This window comes from Homo sapiens, chromosome 4, assembly GCF_000001405.40.
Source record: "Homo sapiens chromosome 4, GRCh38.p14 Primary Assembly".
Classification (NCBI taxonomy): domain Eukaryota; kingdom Metazoa; phylum Chordata; class Mammalia; order Primates; family Hominidae; genus Homo; species Homo sapiens.
In genome coordinates, this window is record NC_000004.12 from 32,436,208 (window position 1) to 32,460,662 (window position 24,455).

General features: G+C 33.5%; 1 long non-coding RNA gene across 1 annotated transcript in view, besides 2 other annotated features; it reads right to left on the reverse strand.

Annotated features, from left to right (window-relative positions):
• Positions 1-860: 860 nt before the first annotated feature.
• The window catches only part of LOC107986223 (uncharacterized), a 123,399-nt gene continuing 99,804 nt past the window's right edge, over positions 861-24,455 (reverse strand). Inside the window, exons 3-4 of the long non-coding RNA XR_001741503.1 lie at positions 3,746-3,810; positions 861-931 (exon numbers count right to left, since the gene is read on the reverse strand). This is a non-coding gene — a long non-coding RNA (uncharacterized LOC107986223). The remainder of the gene's footprint in view (positions 932-3,745; positions 3,811-24,455) is intronic.
• Positions 11,193-11,362: an enhancer, noted in NCBI's record as "experimental_78431 CRE fragment used in MPRA reporter constructs". NCBI's record gives its function as "activates a minimal promoter by MPRAs in K562 erythroleukemia cells, with activity observed for both the introgressed and non-introgressed 4:32449107 variant alleles {active_cell/tissue: K562}" and the evidence as "EXISTENCE:reporter gene assay evidence [ECO:0000049][PMID:34662402]".
• Positions 22,043-22,212: an enhancer, noted in NCBI's record as "experimental_78443 CRE fragment used in MPRA reporter constructs". NCBI's record gives its function as "activates a minimal promoter by MPRAs in K562 erythroleukemia cells, with activity observed for both the introgressed and non-introgressed 4:32459957 variant alleles {active_cell/tissue: K562}" and the evidence as "EXISTENCE:reporter gene assay evidence [ECO:0000049][PMID:34662402]".

Here is a 24,455-nt window from a genome sequence, read left to right on the forward strand (position 1 = left end):
ATCTCCGATGTTTCAGGAATTGAAAATAGGACAGTAGGTGTGGATGGGAGTTAAATGTGTGGTGGGGGAATAGCGAATGAGATTGAAGAGTCAATAAGGGATTCAGATCATGCCAGCATTACCAAAGGACTTTGTTTCTGACATTGAATTAATTGTGGATCCCAGGGTTTTGCGGAGTAACATGATCTCGCTTGCATTTAAAATGATCACTGTGATTGTTGAAGTAAATTCCCACAGCACTGGCTATGGGCACTGTACAGGTTATAAACATTCTTTCACATTAGATTTTAGAATTTGTCTTCCAAAATAATTATGAGGACCTAAATTATAGGATATTGAAGGCTAAATTTCATACTTTACCACCCCAGAGTGTCTACTGGTGCTGGACGTGTAGGTAGAAATTCAGAAAACTATACTTAAGTACAAAATAATTGCTTCACCCAACAAATATTTTTTTAAATTTCCCATAAGAAGTTGGTACTAAATATATAGCAGTGAACAAAAAAACACAAATGCTGTTGACTTCAATATACTTTGCATTTCCAGGTAATTCATACGTCAAGTGAATACATAAATAGTCTGCTCAATATCTGGATAATAAATAAAATTGTTTTTACTAAATTATTCTTCCCACAATATTCTTATTCTAGTGTTTAGGAAACTCGCACCCAAACATAAGAGTTCTGAGGAAATAACAGGTAGATGAGACTGTTCACATTACAAAATTCAACAGCAGTAGTAGTTGCTCATTGAAGCCTTTTTTCATCTACACAGCTGACTCAGCAGTCACTTGGTTATGCAGTGTATAGTAAAACCTCCCGTCCTTACTAATTTGCCCTTGTGGAGGCTTTTGGTTAACTCCCTGTGCTTGTATTCTTAAGAATGGAGAACAGTCTCATCTTTGAATCCTTCATTGTTCTGCTCCAGCGAACTGAAAAAAAAAAAAAGTAATTATTTAAGATGTGATTACATATCTGAAATTTTTTCCCATATAATTTTGAGAATAATTAAAAATGTAGATAATAAAGCAGTTGCAAGTATTAGAAACTAATTTTTGAACTTCAAATCTCCCCATCTGTAAAAGTGACATAATAATAAGCTACTTTGCAAATTACTGTAAGAACTTATAAAGATAAAGGTGTGGTAGTTCCCTGATTAAACTCAGTTTGTACCTTATTATTAATTAATTATAGGTATTATTTTATCCCCAGTTGTAATTTAAATTACAAAAAGGTTAAGGGGCCTGCATTTCATTAAGTAAGCTACCTCCGTGAACTGAATTTACCAATTTATCAGCTTTTATAATGTGCAGAATGAATTGTAAATTAATGATTCCCAACTCAATTCTTAAATCCTACTTCAACAATCCAGTGTATATCTCAAAAACTTTCCCAATAGCAAAATACAAATTTAACTAGTTCACATAATTATAAAGCGTATTTTATATAAATATATAAATAACTTTACTCGAAATATTTTTAATGAATAAGCATAAGATCGATGAAATCCAATGGACAATATAATACATATATAATACTTATGCAACAAAGATAATTTATTTTCTAGAATTTTTATTTTCTAGATGATGCCAGAGCTAGTATCAACCACTTAAGGATCCATCAGTATAAAGCACATGTGAAGGCAAAAAGGCATATTTCAGTGAAAACTTAAAGTGGTTTTAGAAAAAGATAAAATTGAATTAATAATTAACTAATTCTTTTTAAAAGGGCCTGATTTGGCAGGTTTGAAAAGCAGATGGCTCATGGAGACTGACAGAAGCTTATTAAGATCAGAAAAAAAGTGATTTTTCTCTATTGGTTTTGTGGTGCCAGCACAGTTTAATCCATAAGAGAAGGGTAGCTTGTTGTAAATGATGCTGTATTATTACTGATGAGAAAATTAACTGTTTTACTTTTTACTAAAATATTTTAAAACTATTTATAATATTTAGTTTAGAAAGAAATATAATTGTTGCAAAGCGCAAAGTCCTCACCAAAGAGTGAATTCAGGATTTTTCTTGGTCTGTGGCCAACCTGGACTCCGTCCTTTCAGTAAGTGATGTACAGTTGTCCTGTGGTATGCACAGATATATGTGGTTCTAGGATCCCCACATATACCTAAATCAGTGCATAATCAAGATCTTCAGTCACCCCTGTGGAACCTATGTATACTAAAGTCAACCATTCTCATATACATTGGTTTCAAATCCCATGAATACTATTTTTTGTTGAAAAAAATATATGTATAAGGGGACACAGGCAATTCAAACTTACGTTGTTCAAGAATCAACTGAATTTCTTGCCTTGCACCCACCAGAAATTGTGAGAAGCTCAATATTTTGTGAGGCTTTTGACGTTTGAAGAAATTGTATCCAACATTTAGAGACGTTAATTGGCCCAAACTACCAAATAATTGACATAGGCCCCATGCGATGTTTTATTTACCAAAATTCACTAGAGTGCCAAATTCTACTGTTTTGGATTATACTGAGTATAAATCACATCTATCAGTTGTTCTGACTTTGAGGGAAAAAAATAGTTGGCGTTATCGTTTCTACTACAGAACTTCACAAGGAAGCACTAATAAAAGCGAGCTCATATATTCAGGAACAGGACAAGTACAGTAGAAAGGAAGATTGGCTCATGTTCTATCTTCTGACATTTTGTCCCTGATATAGTGCAACAGGCATAATCAACAAAGATCTTAGTTAATAGATACAAGTACTAAAACAACTGAAAATAATAATTTTGAAAGCTGTTGCAGAACAATGTATCAACAGAAGGCCAGCTCTCTGGCTTTTTGGCTAAGGATCTGCTAAGAGAATTCTTTGAAAGGAAAAGCATTGCCTCCTTGGTAATAGCCATGTTGTTACGGAGCTAAAGACAGGGAAGCAGAGGTACTGCAATATGCAGCTCCCGCTATGGAATTGCTACGTTTCTAGCACACTAAGTTTTTTTGGACTATGTGTATACTTAAAAAAATGTTTCTTAAGGTGGTTTGACTGAGTGTCTGGAATACAGGGGTGGCTTTTTATGAGTTACGGACATAAAAATAAGATGCATTAGATGATTGGGCATGGGAAGCCAGATACTATGTAGATTGGAGATGACTGCCCTTAACAGTTAACAAAGCCTGGGATCACAGTTTTGATTCCAAAACTCACCTGCTTTAGAGACTAAGACTCCCCACCAGTGAAATTTCTGAAGGGCAGCACCTTGAATTGTTGTGTTATATGAATTGCTTTGGATTTATGTCCATGGCACCAGATGAGTTTAAAAGAGCACAGTCCAATAAAAAAAATGAAAAAAACAAACTTTTGTGACTTGGCTTTTGCGGTTCCTGTAGATAAAATAATGATGAATAACAAGGAGCAAGCAATATGTTTGTTTGTTTGTTTGCTCTTTGTCAGTTTGAAACTCCTGCTTAGATCTCTGAACAAATACTTATACAGACTCCATAGGTTAGGGGGACAAAATGTCGTTTTATAAAATATTCCAAAAGTCCTTTTAGATTTCCGGAACAGTGAATTAAAAGCAAAATTGGACTGGGCAGTCAAAGCAATTTTCACATAAAATGAGTGGGCTTTGCCTGGGCTATGAAGGGTTGACTCTTGAATTAGAAAAATGTGTAAAGACAGGCTGTTGAATGAAAGCTTACTAAGTATGCAGTATTACACGAAAGTGTTAGAATGATGTTATAGAAATACCTTGTCTGTGACATAATATGTTCTCTGAAAAACACTTACCAAATCACCTTCTGAACGACCATGGCTCTTTGTTTCATTTTGCCTAATATGTGATGAATTGACTTCTGTGAGAAACAAGAGACACAAAACACTGAAGAGATGGAATAATTGGTAGGATAAAAATAGAGTAGTAAACTAATTATATAGTGAGTATGGTTATAATTAGCATATGGTAGTTCAATGTATGAACATTTATGAACGGATGGTTTTCAGGATAATCAGTGTAGAAAATCTGGATGACAATATAAAGCATTGCATCAGGCCCTTTGTATTGGTTTAACAGCCTGGTCTGAAAGGGTCGCTTTGAAAAAAATCACCTGTATAATTTTATTGGTAAGCAGTTACGCATAAAGAAGCATGGCTGAAACCAATGAAGAACCCTTATAATTTAATCAATTCTTTTGTTGTTGTTGTTTTTAATCCTTTAATGCCCACCTTGTGTTCATAATTTCCTTAAGTGTTTGCAGATAGCCAGAGCAAAACTGTCCATGAAGGGAAAAAAAAGTATCTAGTATATCTTTAAAAAAATACTCTGGGCACCTTTCTGTGGTTGTTTGCTGGCCTTCCTTCACCGTTCAGTGCATTTTCATTAACACTCACCACACACTCACAGGCAGCCATCTGTGTCCCTGTCTTCAAGAAGTTTTATCCTATAAGCCTTTCCTCATGACACTGCTGCCTATTACATAAATCAGAGAGACACTCAACTCCTTGGAATCAAATCAGAAACCCACAAAGCTGACTGCTGTCAGGACTCATAAGGAGCGCAATTAATGCATTTATTATTTAGGAGTAGAGCTGTTTTCATTCCAAAAACTCATGCAAAATCGGACTGTTATTTAGAGTGAATATCAAAGTAACTAAGCTAAAAGTGTCTTTTCATCTTCGGGTTCACCCGTTTGACAGTCATTACATTTTCTCCTTCATCTCTGCTTCTGTCAGCTCCGCTACTGTCAGACACATAATTCATTCATTCAATCAACAAAGATCCATTTAGTGCCAATTATTTGTGTCATGAACAAGACAAATCCTTGCCATCATGGAGTTTATGTTCTAGATTTTTAAATTGACTTTGTAGTTGACGTCACAAATGTAGTGGCATTTATAAAATTGAAAAGGAAATAGATATTAATAATTATTGTGTTAAAGAGAAATGAAATCTTAAAAACAAACTGACAGTATCAGCAGATATAAAATACAATATGATCCAGTATAAGCCGAAGCAAAGTTTAATAAATATTTGTTTTTGTAAAATTACATTTATTATTTTCAAAAAAAGTAAGTGAAGAAGAAACAGCAACTAACCATGAAAAACTATGGTATAAAATTCATTTAAGTTATGTATACTGTGAATGCACATATTATTTAATTTAAGTTAAAGCAATATTTATGGTGCATGAGAGACAGACTGTAAATAATGCTGAAAGAACTTGGCTTTAAGGTTTAAATTTTAAATCTTTTTAAAAAACGCTAAATTGACCATCTGGTCTCTTAAAGATAAATGTATTAACTGTATGAATTTATTTCACACAGTTCTATAATCTAATTTTATAAGAAAGCATCACACTAATTTGGAACAAGGCAGGCTTATTAAAGCTTCTTTATATTCAACAGTAAAGGATTTTGCCTTAAAAATAAATGTAAGAAAAAAATCAGAGTATTTACTATATCTCTTATTATTCATAATGTGGTCTGTATTGAATTATGGAATTTATATTCTTAAAGAGAGTAAACTAGAATGAAATATATTTTGGTAAATGTATGCTTATAGTCAACCAAGTGTCCCATAAATATGACAATTTATTTTGAACAACTGAATTACCATTATTTAAATACTTAGGTGTATGTATAATGTTAGCTATTGTTTTAGCATCAAATGTGAAACTTTTATGTTCTATGGTTCATTAAATTAATACAACTCTGCATAGTATTATTAGCACCATTTCATGAGTCAGAAAACTGAGATTAACGGCATTTAGATAACTGGTTTATGGTTACATGGCTAGCAAAAGGCACATTCAACACGTAACACTAGGCTTTAGAACTTCAGGACATTACTGTTTACACTGCATATTCTATAATAGAATGTAAATTCTTGGCTTGTTTTCATTTTTAATTGGGTTCATGAGGCAATAGCTTTAAACATCATAAAAATAAAGCTGTAGAAAATTTATTCAACCAAGAGCTCCACAAGAATTAAAACAGACATGCATCTAATAGGGTAGAGGTTGATATAATTAGTTGATGGGTACAACTCTGCTCAATTCTGGTGAGATAACAACAGATTATTTTATCAAGTTTTAGGGAGTAAGTTTTGAAAGGGACTTTGGTAAAATTGAATAATTTAGACAAAAATGATCAACAATTCTAGATCAGGTCAGTTTAACAAAATGTTACAAAACTGAGGAAAAAATGGAAACTTGAACACTGATGCGTAATCTGATATATATATGCATTTATATATTTATTTTCTATAATTATATTTCATATATACTTCATATATGACATATATATTTCAAAAATAAATTGAAAGCTCATATAACTGACATCTTGAGAAATACAGCATAGCACTATAGAAGACCTCTTCCTGAAATAAATCTAATCCCTTCTCCCAATTTGTTAATGTGCATCACTGTTTAATATACAATTGTATAAATATATCACAATTTATTTGGCTGTTATGAACAAAGCTGCTATAGTCATCATCCTTATGCATACTCAGTTGTAAAAATATGTTCCATTTTAAGGTATATTTTTAGGAGTGGGCCAGAGGTTATAAGCATCTTCATGTTTTCTAAGTATTTCCAATTTACCTAAGACACTTGTATCAGTATGTACTCCCACCAGCAAAATAAGAGCACTGTCAGTTATTCCACATTCTTCTTAGACTGTTTACTCTTGGCCAATATCATGGATATATAGTAGTATCTAATAGTAGGTTTTAATTTATATTTCCAGATTTCTAGTTAAGATAATTTTTATGTTTGAGGAGGCAGTTGGATTACCCTTCCTGTGAAGTATATGTCCAAATCTCTTGACATTTTAGTATAGTGTTGTCTTTATTTTTTTTTTTTAATTTTAAGAGGTCCTTGTACTTTCTGAGTGAACTTTTTGCTTTGTAGGCCTTCTCTGTTTTACGTTTATATGTGTTTTTTGTTTCAAACTTTCCGCATTTATTTTTATAATTCGCTTTGTGTTTGGTTTAGTTTTAAAATCAGCTATCATATCTTTAGCTTCTAGAATATCTGTCTGGTCCTTTTACAAAAATTTGACTTTGACATCATTTTTAGTTTTCAGTTTTCTGCTAATATTTTCATACCATACCTTCATTGCTTTGTGTATAGTAAGTGTATTCTACTTTATAATCTGTGCCAGATTATTTTAATATCTTAATTTTATTGCCTCCTCTGGATTTTACTAACAGCATCTTCTTTCCTTAGGAACCTTGTTTCCCTTGGCTGGGCCTAAGACATATAGGAAATGATTTTGTTGTCGTTAGAAATCACTATGGCCTACAGTAATGTTTTCAGCCTCCTGAAATGTTTTTTTCTTTTGCACCTGGGACTCTACTTTGCAATCACATTATAAGTTCAACACTTGACTTCCTCAGATCACACAGGAAACAAGCTAGACTGTGTGGATTTCTTTACTTTTGCATCTGGTTCTGCTTTTGGGATCTCCACTTAAATTTGGGTTAAACCAAAGTCCTCAAATTTGATTGCTTCTGAGTTTTGAGTTTTGCCTCTGAAGAATCTATCAAAGGCACAGATCAGAGTGTCTCAGCTGGTTCTTCAGGAAGGACAAGTGCTCTCACAGCAAAAGTAGCTTTTAGGGCATAAACCTCTAAGTTCTTATTAGTTTCTGTATCTTGGCCCAATAATGCTTCACTTATTTTTATTAACATGTAGAATTTTTTTATTTGAAATTATTTTTTGCTCGATTTTTAGTAGCTTTTTAATTGTCCTCAGCAAGAGGTTTTGCGCTAAGTATTTAAATCACCATTACTGGAAGCAGCAGCCAATACACATCAAAACTTTTGCAGTTTTTTGTTTTTTTTTTTTCCACACCTTGTCAGCTTTGTGCCTCATATAGTCCAGGCATCTTCTTTAATTAGTTTGGAAAACTCCGACTCATGCTTTAAAACACAGCTCCAGAATTTTCATTTAAGATGTTCATGGATTGCTCTTTCTCCACGATTTTAGTGACACGCCTGTGAAGTCGTGGCTAACTGCCTACTGTTTATGATCCTTCCCTTCATATAAACCACTTATTTACTATGTGTATCATTGTCATCACAATTATGCTATGTTGTACTTTTTGTTAATTTTTGTTGCATGTGCATCTGTCTATATGTTTGTTTGTCTTGTGGAATATGAGGTTCTTGAGGTCTGGGACTGTGGAGACTAAGTCCAACTTATTCTTTAGAGTTAATAAATTAAGTATCAATTCCACAGGGAGTCCGTCACTTTTTCTCAAGCCTCAGTTAGTTATGTCTCTTTGTTCTTGGTTAGAATTTTCCTTGTTATGGAAACTTTCAGTCTGTATTGTGACTTCAGAGCCTTTACAATTCTTTGTTTTTTTGTTTTGTTTTTTTTTTTTTTTGAGACGGAGTGTCGCGCTGTTGCCCGGGCTGGAGTGCAACGGCGCGATCTCAGCTCACTGCAACCTCCACCTCCTGTGTTCAAGCGATTCTCCTGCCTCAGCCTCCCGAGTAGCTGGGATTGCAGGCGCCCACTGCCGCACCAGGCTAATTTTTTGTATTTTTGGTAGAGACGGAGTTTCACTAACCGCCTCCCCGCTACCCCTCGCAGAGATCTTTGTGTCGCTTTATATGTGATATCATTCAAAAATCTGTTCAAAGCTGACTTCGTCAGCGAGGCTTTTTTTGACCACTCAGTTAAAAGACCCCTCCTCAATCACTACTATCCTTTTTATCTGCTTTATTTCAAAATATGCATCACTATTTTAAAAACTGCATTTTTTTTTTCACACTTGGCTTCTCTATTATATGTTCCTCCCATGAAAATGATTCTTTATCAGGGCTGGCAATTAGCTTGCCTCATCTTCCATTTTTATTCCCAATATCTAGAATTTTGCTTAACTAGAATTGTGCTCAACCCAGACCAGGCATTCGCTAAATGAGTGAATTGTTTGACTCCCTCAATAGATTCTCAACTTCCTGGAGGTAAGAAGTGCCTGCTAGGTTCTATTTTATCCTCAATGGCTATTATATTATAGTCACTCAACATGTTATTGATAAGAAATATACTAGAAACAAAGGTTTAAAACTATTAAAAAATTATATAGATTCAACGTTATGAAACTTCCTAACATTGGTACAGTTCAGAAGTTTAAAAAATGTATTTTTTATTAATTAAAAAAATTAGACTTTAAATGAAAACATCATATGTTACAGTGATGGAAAATTATAAAAGTAAGTTGTTTCTCACAGTGAGAATTACCTAGGGATTTTTGCTAGAAGCAAAATGTTCAAAGATCTAACATCTAAAGGCTTAGAAGTGGAAGTAAGAGTATGAGTGATGCTTCAGTGTCTTCCTTTTGTATTTGGCAAACAGCTTCATTCACATCTTTCTTATTTTTCAATTCTTTTGACAAACGCTTCAGAGGGCTACTGGTGATGAAAACCTTGACAGACTCAAGAATAAATTTTATAATGGAAAAAAATTCAAATTGATAAAGACATTTTGAGAAAAAATAAATTCAAACAAGGAATATACAAGTAAATGTGATATTTAACAAGGAATTATTTTCTATAGTCCTTTACAATGGCTTTTTTTTTCTTTTCCCTAAGATGTAGTCTTGCTCTGTCACCCAGGTTGGAGTGCAGTGGTGTGATCTCGGATCACTGCAAACTCCACCTCCCAGGTTCAAGCAATTCTCCTGCCTCAGCCTCCCGAGTAGCTGGGATTATAGGCGCGCGCTACCATGCACGGCAAATTTTTGTATTTTTAGTAGACACAGGGTTTCACCATGTTGGCAAGGCTGGTCTTGAACTCCTGACCTTGCGATCCGCCCGCCTTGGCCTCCCAAACTGCTGGGATTACAGGTGTGAGCCACCGTGCCCGGCCTACAGTGGCTTTTTTATAGTCATTTTACAGTTTTCAGATAGTCTGAAACATTACAAAAAAGAAGCAAACAAAAGCAAACAAACCATAATAAAAATCCCAGGGGCAGAGAGGGGGAAATTTATTAGCTAAAAATAGCATATGTTCACAAGGTACACATATCCCGAGTACAATCAGAAGCTTCCAGTAATAGTCAGAACAATAGTACATATCTGATGCAAACTGATATTGTGATGCCAATCGAATCATAAGTGGATATTTAACCATGACTCCTTGTCTTTTGAATCAAGCAAGTTATTGGGTGCTGCAGATATCTTACAGAACTCCTATGACTGCCTTGTATTTTTCCACTTGGGATGTGGCATTCATTCCATTCTTTCCTCTTCAAAGCCACCTGATCAAAGCACTGATTCCTGATAGTAGCCACTTCCCTGTCATACATTTTAGCACCCCACATTTTGATGACTCTAATCATCCTCCATCTTTCCAGAACTGTGACCATATTAAAATGTTGAGACCGTCGGCTTTGTTTGTGTTGGAAACTTATGGAAACAGGAAAATAAAGTAGATGACTTTGCAGAGTGTTTTGTTATTTTTAAAGATGCACGTGTCACAATGTATTCATATTTGAAAGAGTAACAGCACATTCTGACTTTTAGAGGAAGCTGTAGGATGTGGGTATTGAAGAAACCACTGAGATTTGGCTCCAACGTAGACCTTACCATTCCTCTAGTGTTGTGGTAATTTTTCCCTCCAGTGGAACCAGGAACAACCTTAGCCATTAGGCACAAAGATAGCTCGAGATGCATGCACCCTTTAGATCTCAAAATTATCACTGACCTCCAATTTCCGAAATCTCATCACTTTACTTACTTACCTTGACCTGTCTCTGAAATCAGGATACCTAGAATCCCCTGTCTTAACAGCAGAAATCACCTGATAGTCTGCTCATTGTAACTCCCATGAAGTTTCTTAAGTTTTTATGCCGTATACCCAAATCTTCTTTGCATCCTCAGCTCAATTCCCTAAGATTTCAAAACGAGGATAGAGTTCTCACTAATGACACACCCGGTAATCTATTTTGTAAATTCAAAGTACTTGGAACTAGAGTGTGATAATAAAAAGAGTTTCTTTATGATGCGAGTGATCAAATTGCCCTTGAAAAACTAATCAGACCTCTTGCATCTTAACCTCATAACCTCTAAAGAACCTAAGTAACCTCTTTACTCATGTTAGGAAGGGATAAACTGAGAAAAGAATGAAGAGTAATATTGGTATTGACTGGCTGAAAGAAATTCCTGTTGTTATAAAGAAAATATTTTGAAGCAATATTGTCTGCTAGAAATAATCTTTTATAAAATGATGTTGTAATCATTTCTTGAGGGCTTACAAATGCATTATACTTAGCCTTGCATTCATCATCTTATTTAACTTCCAAAACATTTCTCTTGTTTAGAAACTATCATTGTTCCTATTTTACTGATGAGGATTTTCAGGCTTAAAAAGGTTAAATAACTTGTTCTAAATAACAGAGTTAGGAAGATCTTAAGCCAAGGTATTGACATCATAGACTGAATACTTAAACATAATTCTAAACTACCTCCCCAAGCCCTTAAAGGCATTGTAGAACTAATTTTAAATATTCTTTTGACCAAATGAGAAGAAAAACAGATATTTCTACTGTTATATCTTGCTAACAGAGGAATTTTAGCTCATATTCTCTGTTTTCCTAAATCTCAGTTTTCTCATCTGCAAAATATAGACTATAATCTCACAATATACTTGCAGTTTTTTGGTAAAATGGAATTAATTAGCACAAGCAATGCATTAGAAAAAAAGTATGGTTCATGAAAACACCTCATTTAATGATGTTGCATTAACATTACTAGAAATAAAGCAAATATATGTAATACTTCAGTATGTTAACAGATGATTTAAATGCTTTGCCATATTTTCTGTCTCATTTACCATTTTCAAATTTGATGTATTCAAATGTGCTTTCTCTACTGCTGGGCAGCTATTGTGTATTTTTGTCAGAATTATTTATAATAAATTATTATTATGAATTACAATGTAGTGATGATCATAGAGAGCTTTGAAAATGTTAATAATGTTGTCTTAACCAGTTAGGGTTTTCGGGGGTTAACAAGAAGCACTAACTGGCAAATTAACCTGAGAACCACTCACAGAAATAACCAATTAGTCAGATACCGGGTTGCTCGTCAACTCAAGGGATGGACTGAAGGACTAGGCTTAGAAAATGGGTACAGACTATGAATTTTTTTTTTAGATTCCAACACTTGGGCAAAATAAATTCTGGGGTTTTCTCTTTGGGAAGCCCAGGGCATTGTCTAGCAGGATATCTGGGGATTATCTGATTCTATAGGGTGCGCTGTTTATTGGCTTGCTATTGACAAGGCTATTTACAACCCTGCAGAGATAGCAGTTATAAAAACTGATTGCAATGCAACTAATTCCTGTTAATGATAATGCTATTAAATTATTTCCACTAGAAAACATAAATTTCTGCAAGTCAAAGTTTTATGTGAATCAATTTTAACATCTTACTGGTTATCTCATTAATTAAAGAGTTGCATAAAAATTCTTGACAGTTGAGTATTTTATATTTTTATGATAATCATGTATTTATAATTTTGGAAAACCAAATACATTTTAGCATAACCATAGAATGAAATCATCATCTTCACCAATTTTATCACGGGAGCAGCCTTAATAGCATAGGGGTGCTAATACTTTTGGGGAAAATGGTAGAAAAAGGTAGACTATTAGCATGTGATTGTTGTCTACTGCCAATTTGCACTACACACTATTTAAAAAGAGAAAAACTTGAATTAGAATTAGCCAACAGAGAAGAAAATAAAATAGTGCTTAGAGGAGTACTCTCACTCAGTGGCCTCTCAATGTAAATTGACTGAGAGTGTACCATTATTTGGTTCCCTGTGCATTTAGGCAAGTCATAAATTTTTGCCACTTAAATTTAAGTTGATTCTCCAGAACTGTCTCAAAGGTCTTTCCTTAAGTATTATTTCCCAGTAAAAGGAATTTTGTACATTAAAATAAGCTGATCTTAAGGGTGTTACTGTCCCATTGCAGCTTATTTTTTTTTTTCGATTACTTTAAAGCAGCATGAGTAAAACATGAGGCTCTTAGGTTAAACAAAAAATTAGAGAATCATTAGTATTCCAGAGTTCCAACAGTCGAGATCAGTGGCTTTGATTATTAGCACATGGCAATTAGCAATGGAAACTAAGTTAGAGTTCTACTAATTTTTGTACAAATTGAAACCCACTTCAAATTAATTAAAAACTGATATAGTAAATGAATCCTTAAAGCAATCCAGTGCCCCCACATTTCCTTCAGTAGTAATGTGTCTGTGAAAACAGGATCACCCCAAGGGAAGGCATCATCTACTGTAATTCTCAGCTGTAGCATTCAGGTACCAGAGAAAGAATGAATCTTCAGCAGTGAGAGTCAGGGTTGCCATATTGTCTGGCTAATGGGCACATATTCTATGCTACTCCTTACTAAAAGAATTTAAGAATTACTATAAACCACTATTTTTAGGTATTTTTGATGTTTCCTTTTTCTGAATAAATATTATAATTTTTTTCCTTGTATCTCTTCTGCAATTTTATCTGGGTATATTAGAGGCAGGCAAACTATCTTTCGTTTTACAGGTAACCAGATGATAAAGAAAGACAGTTGTCCATATGGAGAGAAACAAACTTCATTGTGATTTTATCTTGATACAAACTGGAGATGACATTGTGTATGTTGGGATTATCTTATTTTCCTGGGAAGATGGCATGTAGAGATTTTGGCTACTAAAGAGGAACTGGCAGATATTGATAGTCATCAGGCCAATATTAGTCTCCTTTTTCCTTAATATTAGAACCCAGTGGGAGATTGGCAACAGACAGGCCTAAAACAAGAGCAAATGTTTTCCTTACTCCTTGTGATTAGATCATGGCCCTATGATATAGCATTAATCAATAAAATATATCATTCTCTGATATCTCTCTCTTTCTTCCAGAATCTGGGCTTAGTTAAAATTCTAGCAGCCATTTTTGCAGCCATAAGTAAAAGGCCATAAAAATCCCCAAGACATTTTACTTGATTTCCTTAAGTGTCTGAAGCAACATCAGAAATTATTCTCTCCAGCCCTCTTGTTAAATTAGAAAATATAGTTAAACCACTGTAGTCAGTTTATCTTGCATGCAGCAAAATGTAAATCCTAACTGAAATACCTATTTTCAAACCACTGGTCTCCTGAAGGGGAAGTGAAAAGATATTTTATTCCTTGAATAAGTTAAGGAAGAGAAGTCATCAAACAACATTCATCAAGCTGTCTTCTAATTCATCTGCCTCCAAATGTCTCAATACACAGTTCCTCCTGCCCATTCCAAGTTTCTGTCTTCCCAGGATTCCATATGGTATCATGGCTTATCATGTATTTAAGACCTTGTGAACTAATGTCTTGTTTTTTCTGTCTCAAAGTTCAGTAAACACTGTCTAGTTCAATTATCACTGCCTAGTTCAATTACCATCTTCCTCAAAGGTATTGATTCCTCTTATTCGATTATTGCTTTCTCTCTCATATTCTCTGTCCTTGTGGATTTGTACGTTATTTACCCCCATCCACCCTTTACAGCCATTATATAATCAGATATAATAGTTTCTTGGAAAATCTTTAAAATTCCTGCCTAATCATCAGAGGACCGAAAGTCAATGATTTTTTAGCAAATCTTTAAAGATGTTCAGGTATCTACTCATTTCAGAAAATCCCCATTACAACATGAGTTCTTACTTCTCACTCTTTTTCTAAATGAGTATGTAAGCTTCTTTTGCTCCAAAAGTCTAGCAGAGAGTTCTTTCACTTAAATTTTTCTCTGACAATTAAATATTAAGTCAATTGATGTAGCTTTTTGCACATTTGCCATAAAATACACGAATAAAAAATAAAACTTTTCTATTTATAGATTTGTAAGTAAAGCTTTATTTCTTGAGATCTTTAAAAATTTCAAATACAGTAATTATCCTAAAATGATACCAACGCAAACACCTATAATGTCACATCCTAACCTTTGACTTTGGCTATACCTGTGGTGACAGTACCGTGGGAAATTATGCTTACTTCACACTAGTAGCATCCCAACTCTTATTTCTCATCTTAGGACTTCTCCAAAACATAAGTTTGTGAAGGATAACCTAAGCACTGCCCAGAAGTACAAGGAGTTAATATCCTCTGAGGACAACTCCCAGTAAATAGAAAATAGGAACCATTGATAAACATGTCAGCTTCCAGATCTTCATGGAGATAATGTTGGGAGGTTACTCAGAAGATTCCAATGAAGCATGCCCCTATTGTTTTCCCATTACAATAACATCAATAACGTACCTCTATGATTGATTTGCTTCTTCTCTGTTTCACTCTTCCTAGTTTCTCACATTTTCTACCTTAGATAATCTCCCAAATAAGTTATCCCTACTCAAATCCTCGTCCCAGTCTTTGGTGACAAGACAAACCAAGCAAAAAGAGGTATCAATAACCTTACATCTAGGTCTAAACATGCTCTTGGAGACACTGCTGTCCAGATTCTCACAAACAAAGGGACTCTACTTATCAGAAGGCTATAAATAAACTGCAAACAGAGGCTATAAAAGCATAAAGGAGAAAACTTTACATTTTACTCAGGTTTAATAACATTTATTGATGATTTAAAATGTTAATATATGTATAAGACACTATATAAGATCGGTATAAGACACTGTAACAATATAAGAAGTGAGTTGTATAGTCCTTTTGGGAACACTGAACAGAATGTCTGGGAACTATCTCATTCGTTGTTCAATCAAAATATTTGATGTATATTCACCTAAAAATAGAATTTTAGAGTCTGGACAGAGTAATATAAAAATGATCAAAATTCATATACTCTTATATTTATATTTTTGTTGTAAAATTAAAGTGCAATTGCTGGTGCAATATGGTGAAAATAATAACTCTAAGAGTATAATAATATTTTCATATTATACTGGATACTGAAAAGAATCCAGAAAACACACAGTTAATTGATACTTAAATTTCCAGAGAGCTAAAGAATCAGGTAGTGACATGTACTGAATCAATAGCATCATAATATAACATTTTACCTGTGTGGTTAATGGATATTTCCATGAATATATGCTAGCAGGTCAGCTGATACAGAATGATATTAGGCAGGAAAATTACTCATAGTTGTGTTTAATAAAATGAGAAAGAATTGTCAAATGACACTAATAATAATAATAATCCTATAGCAGGCTAAATAATTCCATAATAATTACAAGTATTAATCTCACCATAATAATTACAAGTATTAATCTCACTTTCTTCACTGATTATGAATCTCCTATCTTTTCAATGTAAATGGGGGTGGCAGATTGCAATGAGTTGTGAAAACCCAGCAGTGACTTTGGCAGTGAAGCCCTCTCATCAATTTTGATAAATTAAAATGATTTTGGATTTTGGTTAGCTCTTGGTCTTGAGTAGATTCAACAACTTTATTTTTGCACATGTCTTATATAAAAAAAAGAACCATTGTAAATTCTTGCTGTCATTTCATGGAGCCAATACAATTATAGTGATAACAGAGGGCAATTGACAGCATTAGGGCAGGTAACTATCTTGAAGTACTGGAATTAGAAATAAAATTCCAATATTTTATATAACCTTGCTTTTTTGATAAAAATGATAGTATTGCTTACCTTGTAGACTCCTGCTATTATGTAGCTATTTTTAGCATGTATATTGTATCATATGCCTTTTGTTTCTGGGTAACTAATCCACTTAGAGATCAAGTGGGTTGCAAAACCACTTTTACTGGTGGGTTAGCTTTATAATTAAAAATAGCTGAAAAAGGGAAGAAAAATATTTCACATTAAAATAAACTTAAGTTTGACCAAAATGTTTACTCACTGTAATGGTGATTCTTAAGGTACAGAAAAAAATTTTGAAATATAGTTATCAATTAGCGTAAGTCTAGTTGGCTATTTTTCATATTTGTCTAGTGTCAAATGTGTTGACATTCTGGTCCAATCCATTATATCAGGTCACCTGTGAATTTTTATTATAATATTGACAACGCAGTGTATCTTAAGATCATGACACTTTAGAAATAAAGTATGAGGTACATTTTCAAAAGCATTACACATACATAAAGCCAAGATACCAAAAAAGGTGGATGCCTGTGGTAGAGTATATACTCAATGAATGAATAGACGCCCAGAGCTTTGAGTGAGGTCTGTGACTGTTATTCAAGATGGGGTCAACCAGTGGCTTCTGAATAAATAATCTGTTGTGAAATTATCACTAAATTAATTAGTACAATGTAAATCCGAGAAGGCTAGACTAATTTTAGCCATCTTAGCTCAATGAACAAATGGGATAAATTTTAGTTTGGTCAGTTTTTGACCTGATTTCTAACCATTTTACATTAGTGAGAACCTTCCTGAAATAAGGGTTCTTAAGGACATAGCCCTTTGGGCACAAAAGTTCAATAAATGTTTTAATTTATAGACTATTGTATAGCACATGCAAGTTATACCAAATTTACTGATGCATATATGTAGACATATGATAATATTTAGCTTATCATTTTATGCTTTAATTATAATATTCCAAAAGTTGTAGAATATTTAATATACACTTTTTTAAGCTATGTTAGAGATAAACTAAACCTTACAGAATCTGCTTCTTAGATGATAACTTTTATCGTCTAGATTTCAGAGTTTATTTCCTGCATGTCAATCTTATTACTTAGTGGTGAAAAAATTTGTTAACATGTTAAGAATTATGAAAAGAATGAAAATATGATTATTTTAATGAAGAAAAGGGATTTTTCTAGATTGTGTCTTTAAGTGACTAGTACTCACTAAATTTATAACAACAAAAAAGTCAAAGATTTTTATAACTGAAGACATTGGGCAAAGTAACTTTTCCAGCACTCTTTGATTCATATCATATTTATAGCTTGTTTTTTCTACTCCTTTGCCATTCATAGAGAAAAGATATTCACCCTTAAGAGAGCTTATAAAACCAAGAGTGGATTAATGAATTGTCAAATGGAAAATAATCAGTACTTGTACTTAGTCCTATGTTTTCAGCTTCTTACTTTGACCCATTCTCTTGTCAAAATCAATTTACCTTGTCCTAGGCTTACATACAGATCAACCTTGTTTTCTACTTTGTGAAAATAAATAGAATTGAGTTAATTAATTGGATAATTATTGCAAGTTAATTCATTAAATAGTTAATGAATTATTCAATAAGAAATAAATCAAACAAACTCCACCACTACCAAGTTAAGTACAGATTGCTTGAACATTGGTGTTCAAACAGGTAGATATATATATACAGCAAAATTTTTCAAAATGAAGTGCTGTGGTTTGAATGTTTATTTCCTCCAAAACTCCTGTTGAAATTTAAGTGCCATTTTAACAGTACTAACTGGTGAGACCTTCAGGAGATGGTTAGGCCATGAGCGCCCTATTCTCAGGAGTGGGATTGGTGCCATTACAAAAGAGTGAATTCAGTCCCCTCTTGCCCTCTCTCTCTCCACTTCACCTTCCACAGTGTAATGAAACAGAAAGAAGTTTCTTACCAGATGTTGGGTTATTGTAAACCACAAAAATAACCAACTTTCTTTGTCAATTGTGTTTCTAACTGTATCCAAACTGGACATTTTGTTATTTACACACTATGTTATTTTGTTTTAATTCTCTTCAAAACATGGTTTATATTCAGGCTGTGAAACCTCAGCAAGTGCTCTCAAATGCAGGTTTCCCACAACAGCAACAGCACAACAAAACGTACAGAACTCATGAAAAGCTAAAATGTTTGTAAATATCAAGCAAAAGTTAATAAAATTGGCTAAACTAATAAAAAAACAAAAACAAGTTTTTACCTCTTGCTTAGAACACTGCTAATCTTTATCTTATTTTTCATTCAAGAGAACTTGTCTTAAACTAGCTACAGCCTTTAACAACTAAGTATACTCCTATAAATAGAATCTAAATCGTGTTTGTTTCTCTCTGCCTAGTTCTTCCAGAATTTAAAAACTAGTTATAAGTATTCTTAAATTACAACAATATAGTTGCTTGCATCAGTGCAATAGAAATTTACTTTCTTTTGTAACAGAACACAGTTGGAAAAACTGGTTATTTTACCACATCTTTAACTGGAATGATGTGCTCTCCTTTAAGAAATCAAACTTGACTTACAAAGCAATAAAGCCCTTGGAAAACTGGCCTCATATTTTGTGTACACAGGGTTTCTGATCTGTGGTGAGTAAAGAATGTCACTTTCCAACAGGCCAGGAACCCCACGTTATCTTAAAACCTCAAGAGGAGAGGAATTCACCCAACTCATAGGTATTTTATGGTACAAACCCATGGCTGGACTTGGCTTTAACAAGTCTTATCTCAAATTCCTTCGACATAAGGAAGTTCCATCAAAGCTGATTTAAAAGGCCTATGTAGCAAATTATTATTATTGCTTCACTGTATACAAATAATTAAGCAAAGAATAATAAAGCAAACCAATCCTACCATGTTTGTCTTCCAATAAAAACGGGAAACTGAAGAGTGAAAATTATGTTGCAAAAGCTATAGCACAATTGTTTTAAATTTTAGTCTGGCCTAATGTTTTTCAATTTTTATTATCTTCTGGAGTTTAAATTATATCTGTTACAGAAGTCAACTCCTGAATACATCACACTCAACTCAAAGCCTAAAGAGTGGAGAAAGAAACCCCTAACAGCCCAGGAAAATGTCCTATCAATATAAAAAAATAAAATAAAGGCCAGGCGCGGTGGCTCACACCTGTAGTCCCAGCACTTTAGGAGGCTAAGGTGGGTGGATCACGAGGTCAGGAGTTCCAGACCAGCCAAAGTAGTGAAAACCCATCTGTACTAAAAACAAATACAAAAATTAGCCGGGCGTGGTGGCAGGCACCTATAATCCCAGCTGCTTGGGAGGTTGAGGCAGGAGAATCGCTTGAGTCCAGGAGGTAGAGATTGCAGTAAGCCAAGATTGCACCATTGCACTCCAGCCTGGGCGACAGAGCAAGACTCTGTCTCAAAAATACGTAAATAAATAAATAAATAAATAAATAAATAAATATAAATACATAAAATAAAAAAAGAAATCTTAAGCTGAAAATCCTAAAAGATAAGTAACTAAGTAAAAATTACTCATCTTACTCAGTCTCAACCCCACCTCACCAACTACTTTTTGTTGTTTCTACCTCTCCTTTTAAGCCAAATATTAAAACCCTTTTTAAAGGAAATTATTTACTATGCTACCCATGCAGGAATTGCTTTACTCACTCTACTATTTGCAGTAGGACTATATATTGTAGCGCCCTCAGGGTGGAATATCAGACAGAGAATCTCAATTGTTGTAGCATTTTGCTTAATTATTATCCTCATAGCAGGAATTACAGTTAGTAACAAAAAATAACACGTGGGTCTTTCTGAACATGTGTCTCTGCCTGTCATTGGAGCCTCTAACAAACTCTCCCATCCTTAAAAACTCTTAGTCTGTAAGAGAGTGTGCCCCTGACCTAACTGGGCCAGAAGGAGCCTCTCAGGTTTGTTTTCTCCAAAATAAATCTGTCTTGACTGGCAAGCCGCCTTTTGTGTTTCTTTCCTCTTTCCTTAATTCTTACACCAGATGCTAGCATATTGATATTGGACTCCCCATCCTCCAGAATCATGAGCAAATGAATTTCTGTTTATCATGAATTACCCAGTCTGTGGTATCCTGTTATAGTAGCACAGACCAAACTAAGGTAGTAAGAGTGTACTAATACTTTTCCATATTTACTGAATCCTAACACTCCTTTGTTACTTCCCCTTTTGCAAAATGACCTCTCCCACTTTACGAAACAAAGGCATTCCCCTTACCTGACATGTTATTATAGCATATTACCTCATGAATAAAAACTTCCAGGGAACCAAACAAAAGGGTAACAGGAAATATTATTTTCAATGAAGACTGTTTTTATGGTGAATCAAAGCACAGCAAACCACATTGAGGCAACCCGTCTTTCTCTACATAAGCATGGTGTTAGAAACGGGGTATTTTGGCCTGATAGAATATTGTTAAATTGACTATTTCCAGAATATAAGCAAGGAGAGACTTTACATCTTCAATTTTCTAAATATTTTCAAGTAATATATGGCCCTTAGAGAATGTTGTGAGAACAAAGCGAAGAAAGCATTGATAAAAACAAGTGATATTGGCTGGGTGCCGTGGCTTGTGCCTCTAATCCCAGCACTTTGGAAGGCCAAGGCCGGCGGATCACCCAAGGACAGGAGTTTGAGATCAGCCTGGCCTATATGGTGAAACCCTATTTATATTATTTTTATATTTATATATATGTAAATATATATATAAACCCTATTATATTTATATTAAAAATACAAAAATTAGCCAGGCATGGTGGCGGGCACCTGTGATCCCAGCTACTCGGGAGGCTGAGACAGGAGAATCTCTTGAACCTGGGAGGCGGAGGTTGCTGTGAGCCAAGATCACGCCACTGCACTCCAGGCAACAAAGAGTGAAACTCCCTCTCAAAAAACAAAACAAAAAAGTAATATTTTTTTCCACAAATTTAAACATAAGAAATTTTTCTTACCTATATTCTTCTCATAGACTGCTGAAATGAAACATATCTCAAGCAGCAAAAGCAATTCAGGTTAGTGACACTGACACAATCATATGAAGTTTTCAAAAGTATCATATTTTTAAAAGTTATGTGGATATAGACATGTCTCTAATTAACTATTTTATACAATTTCTTTCATGTGTAGCATATTTCTTATTTGCAAAGGTACTTACAAACTATATGACCAAATCAAATTATAACATATTTTTTATAATTACAACCTATTCCATTCTTGTTTTATCTCTGTTTACTATAGTCTATCTTCTAATTTAAAAATCTCTAAATTCACATACTAGTTGCTAAAGCTATTTATTGTAAATAATATAGATCTTTGTCTTTCATAACTAGATAGAAAAAATAGATCTTAAGGTATAATAAAATTAATGGAGTTATATCTAAATATTTACATATGAAGCTTAGTTTTTTTTTTCAAGCAGAATACCAGGCACACTCATGCCAACACATTTCCTGAAGGGATAGCATCTTTTCTATGCCAATTATCTTTTCATAAGTATCTTATAATTTTAGCTATGTATTTTTTGAAAATTAAGTAGTAAGACATAGCATATAGATTTGTCCTTTTATAAAACTTATTTCTATATTAGACTTAGGTCATGTTAATTGTGATTTGAATGTTATTAATAATACTAATTAAAATATATATACTGAAATGTGTTTTTGATTGTGTTTATATTTATTTCCATGTATAGAAACAGCTTTATCTGCTTCAAAAATGAAGACCCTTTCTGTTCGATGGAAAGCAAATCAGATTTAACCAATTGGTACAAGTTTGGGCATTGATTACGCTGATGAGTTAATATGATAGACATATCCATTACTAGACTGGATGAGATAAATATACACACATACAATGTTGTGCAAAAATATATGTAAAACCCAAGGAAGACAGACATGTTTTCTCCAAAAAAAAAAGTTGAAATAGATAGGTTGAAACAAACAAATTTACAGCTCTTTATGATAAAAGTGGGCAAGGAAATTGTCATGGACTGAAACAAAAATGATGATAACAGGCATAACTACTAGTCTTGCTGGAACATTTTGTAACATGAAATTAACAAAGGCCATAGTTCTACTAAGTACATCCCAGTTCTTTTTTAGGCAATTGATATTTTTTTCTGAGACACGGTCTTCCTCCCATCACCCAGGCTGGCATGCAGTGGTAGAATCGATCACACCTCACTGAAGCCAGGACTTCCTAGCCTCAAGCGATCTTCCCATCTCGGCCTCCAGAGAAGCTGGAACTACAAGCGTGCACCACTATGCCCGGCTAAATTATTATTATTATTATTTTTTTTTTTTATTGTAGAGATGGGGTTTCTCCATGTTGCCCAGGCTGGCCCTGGACTCAAGCCATCCTCTCACCTTGGCCTCCTAAAGCACTGGGATTACAGGCACAAAGCATTGCACCCTGCCAGTCAATTGATTTTGGAGTTTTCTATCTCTAATAAAAAAGAAAAAGCTAATAGATTTTTCAATGATTATATCATTTTGATGATATATCACTATTTTATGTCTAAATTATAATCTGGGAGGAATTTAAAGAATCCAATATATTTTCTTTAACATTCCCCACCTACTTATAAAAATGAAACTCACTATTAGACTTGATTATGAACCTTATCTAATTTTAACAGTAATGTAATAATCAACTAATTAGAAAAATGACCCTCTTAATCTCATTGAAAGATTGTGTTCCAATAAATTGTATTTATTGTTTAATAATTATTGACACATAGTATACTTTTATTTGTATTCAGGTATTAATAACATAAATATAATGTATATAATAATTCAATAGAGCTGATTTTTTTACTATTTAGATCTTTTATTATAAGATTGTTATAAATTTCTCTCTCTGTATATATATTTATATGCCTATCTATCTATCCATCTATTTATCTATCTACATACCTATTTTAATTCCAAAAGTATAGTGTCATCAATAAAGGTTTTTGTAGCACAAAAATATAATAAACTAGAACAAATTCTGTGGTATAAGTGAAATGGAAATACATTTTAAAAAGAAAACAAATGATATAAAATTGACTACTGTTAAGGAGTCTGCTTGCATATATTTTAAATGAGTGATGTTGTCCATAAATAGCTAAGGTAACATAATAATTTAACAGTTTTCTTTCTAAATGTTAATATCGACAACATCAGGGAAACTACTCCTTTGAAACAAGTATAGAGAATCTTCCTTATGCCAGGCACTGGACTGTGAGCAAGTCATAGCAAAAATCAAAACGAAATGTAAACTTTCAATAAACTTTTATTCTAGTGGTAGATAGGATAACCATTTACAAGATGTGGATTAAGTATTATAACAGAGTTATATAAATAAAAGTTTTATGGCAGTGTGGAAGAGGAAAGAAATAATACTGTCACAGGTTATTGTAACAATATTATTGCTATGGTCAATTATTTAATTATGATTGTATATGTTGTTTTATTTGTACAATAGATCATGTAATTATGGATGTGATAAGGTGGTGTTGGGCAACATTAAGATTAACATGGTATTTTCTAACTGGGTGACAAACATCAGTCTTAGAGTTTTATATATTATTCTACTTGCTGTTGATAAGTTTACTTTAATAAAATATATTTATCTAAGGAATATGATACATGAAGTATTTAATAGAGTAATGGAAATACAAAAATTGCAGGAAATGTATTATGTTCTATAGAATTATATTACTCTATGTAGGCTAGTGTTGTGAAATTCTGCATTGCTGTCTTCAAAGGAAAGTGCTCATTTGCTCTCCCTCTCTGTCTCTTTCCCCCTTCCATTGTGCTGGAAAGTGTACATATACATGGTGAGACAGTTTTAACCATGTAAATAAAGCCTATACTCTACAGGATAATGAAG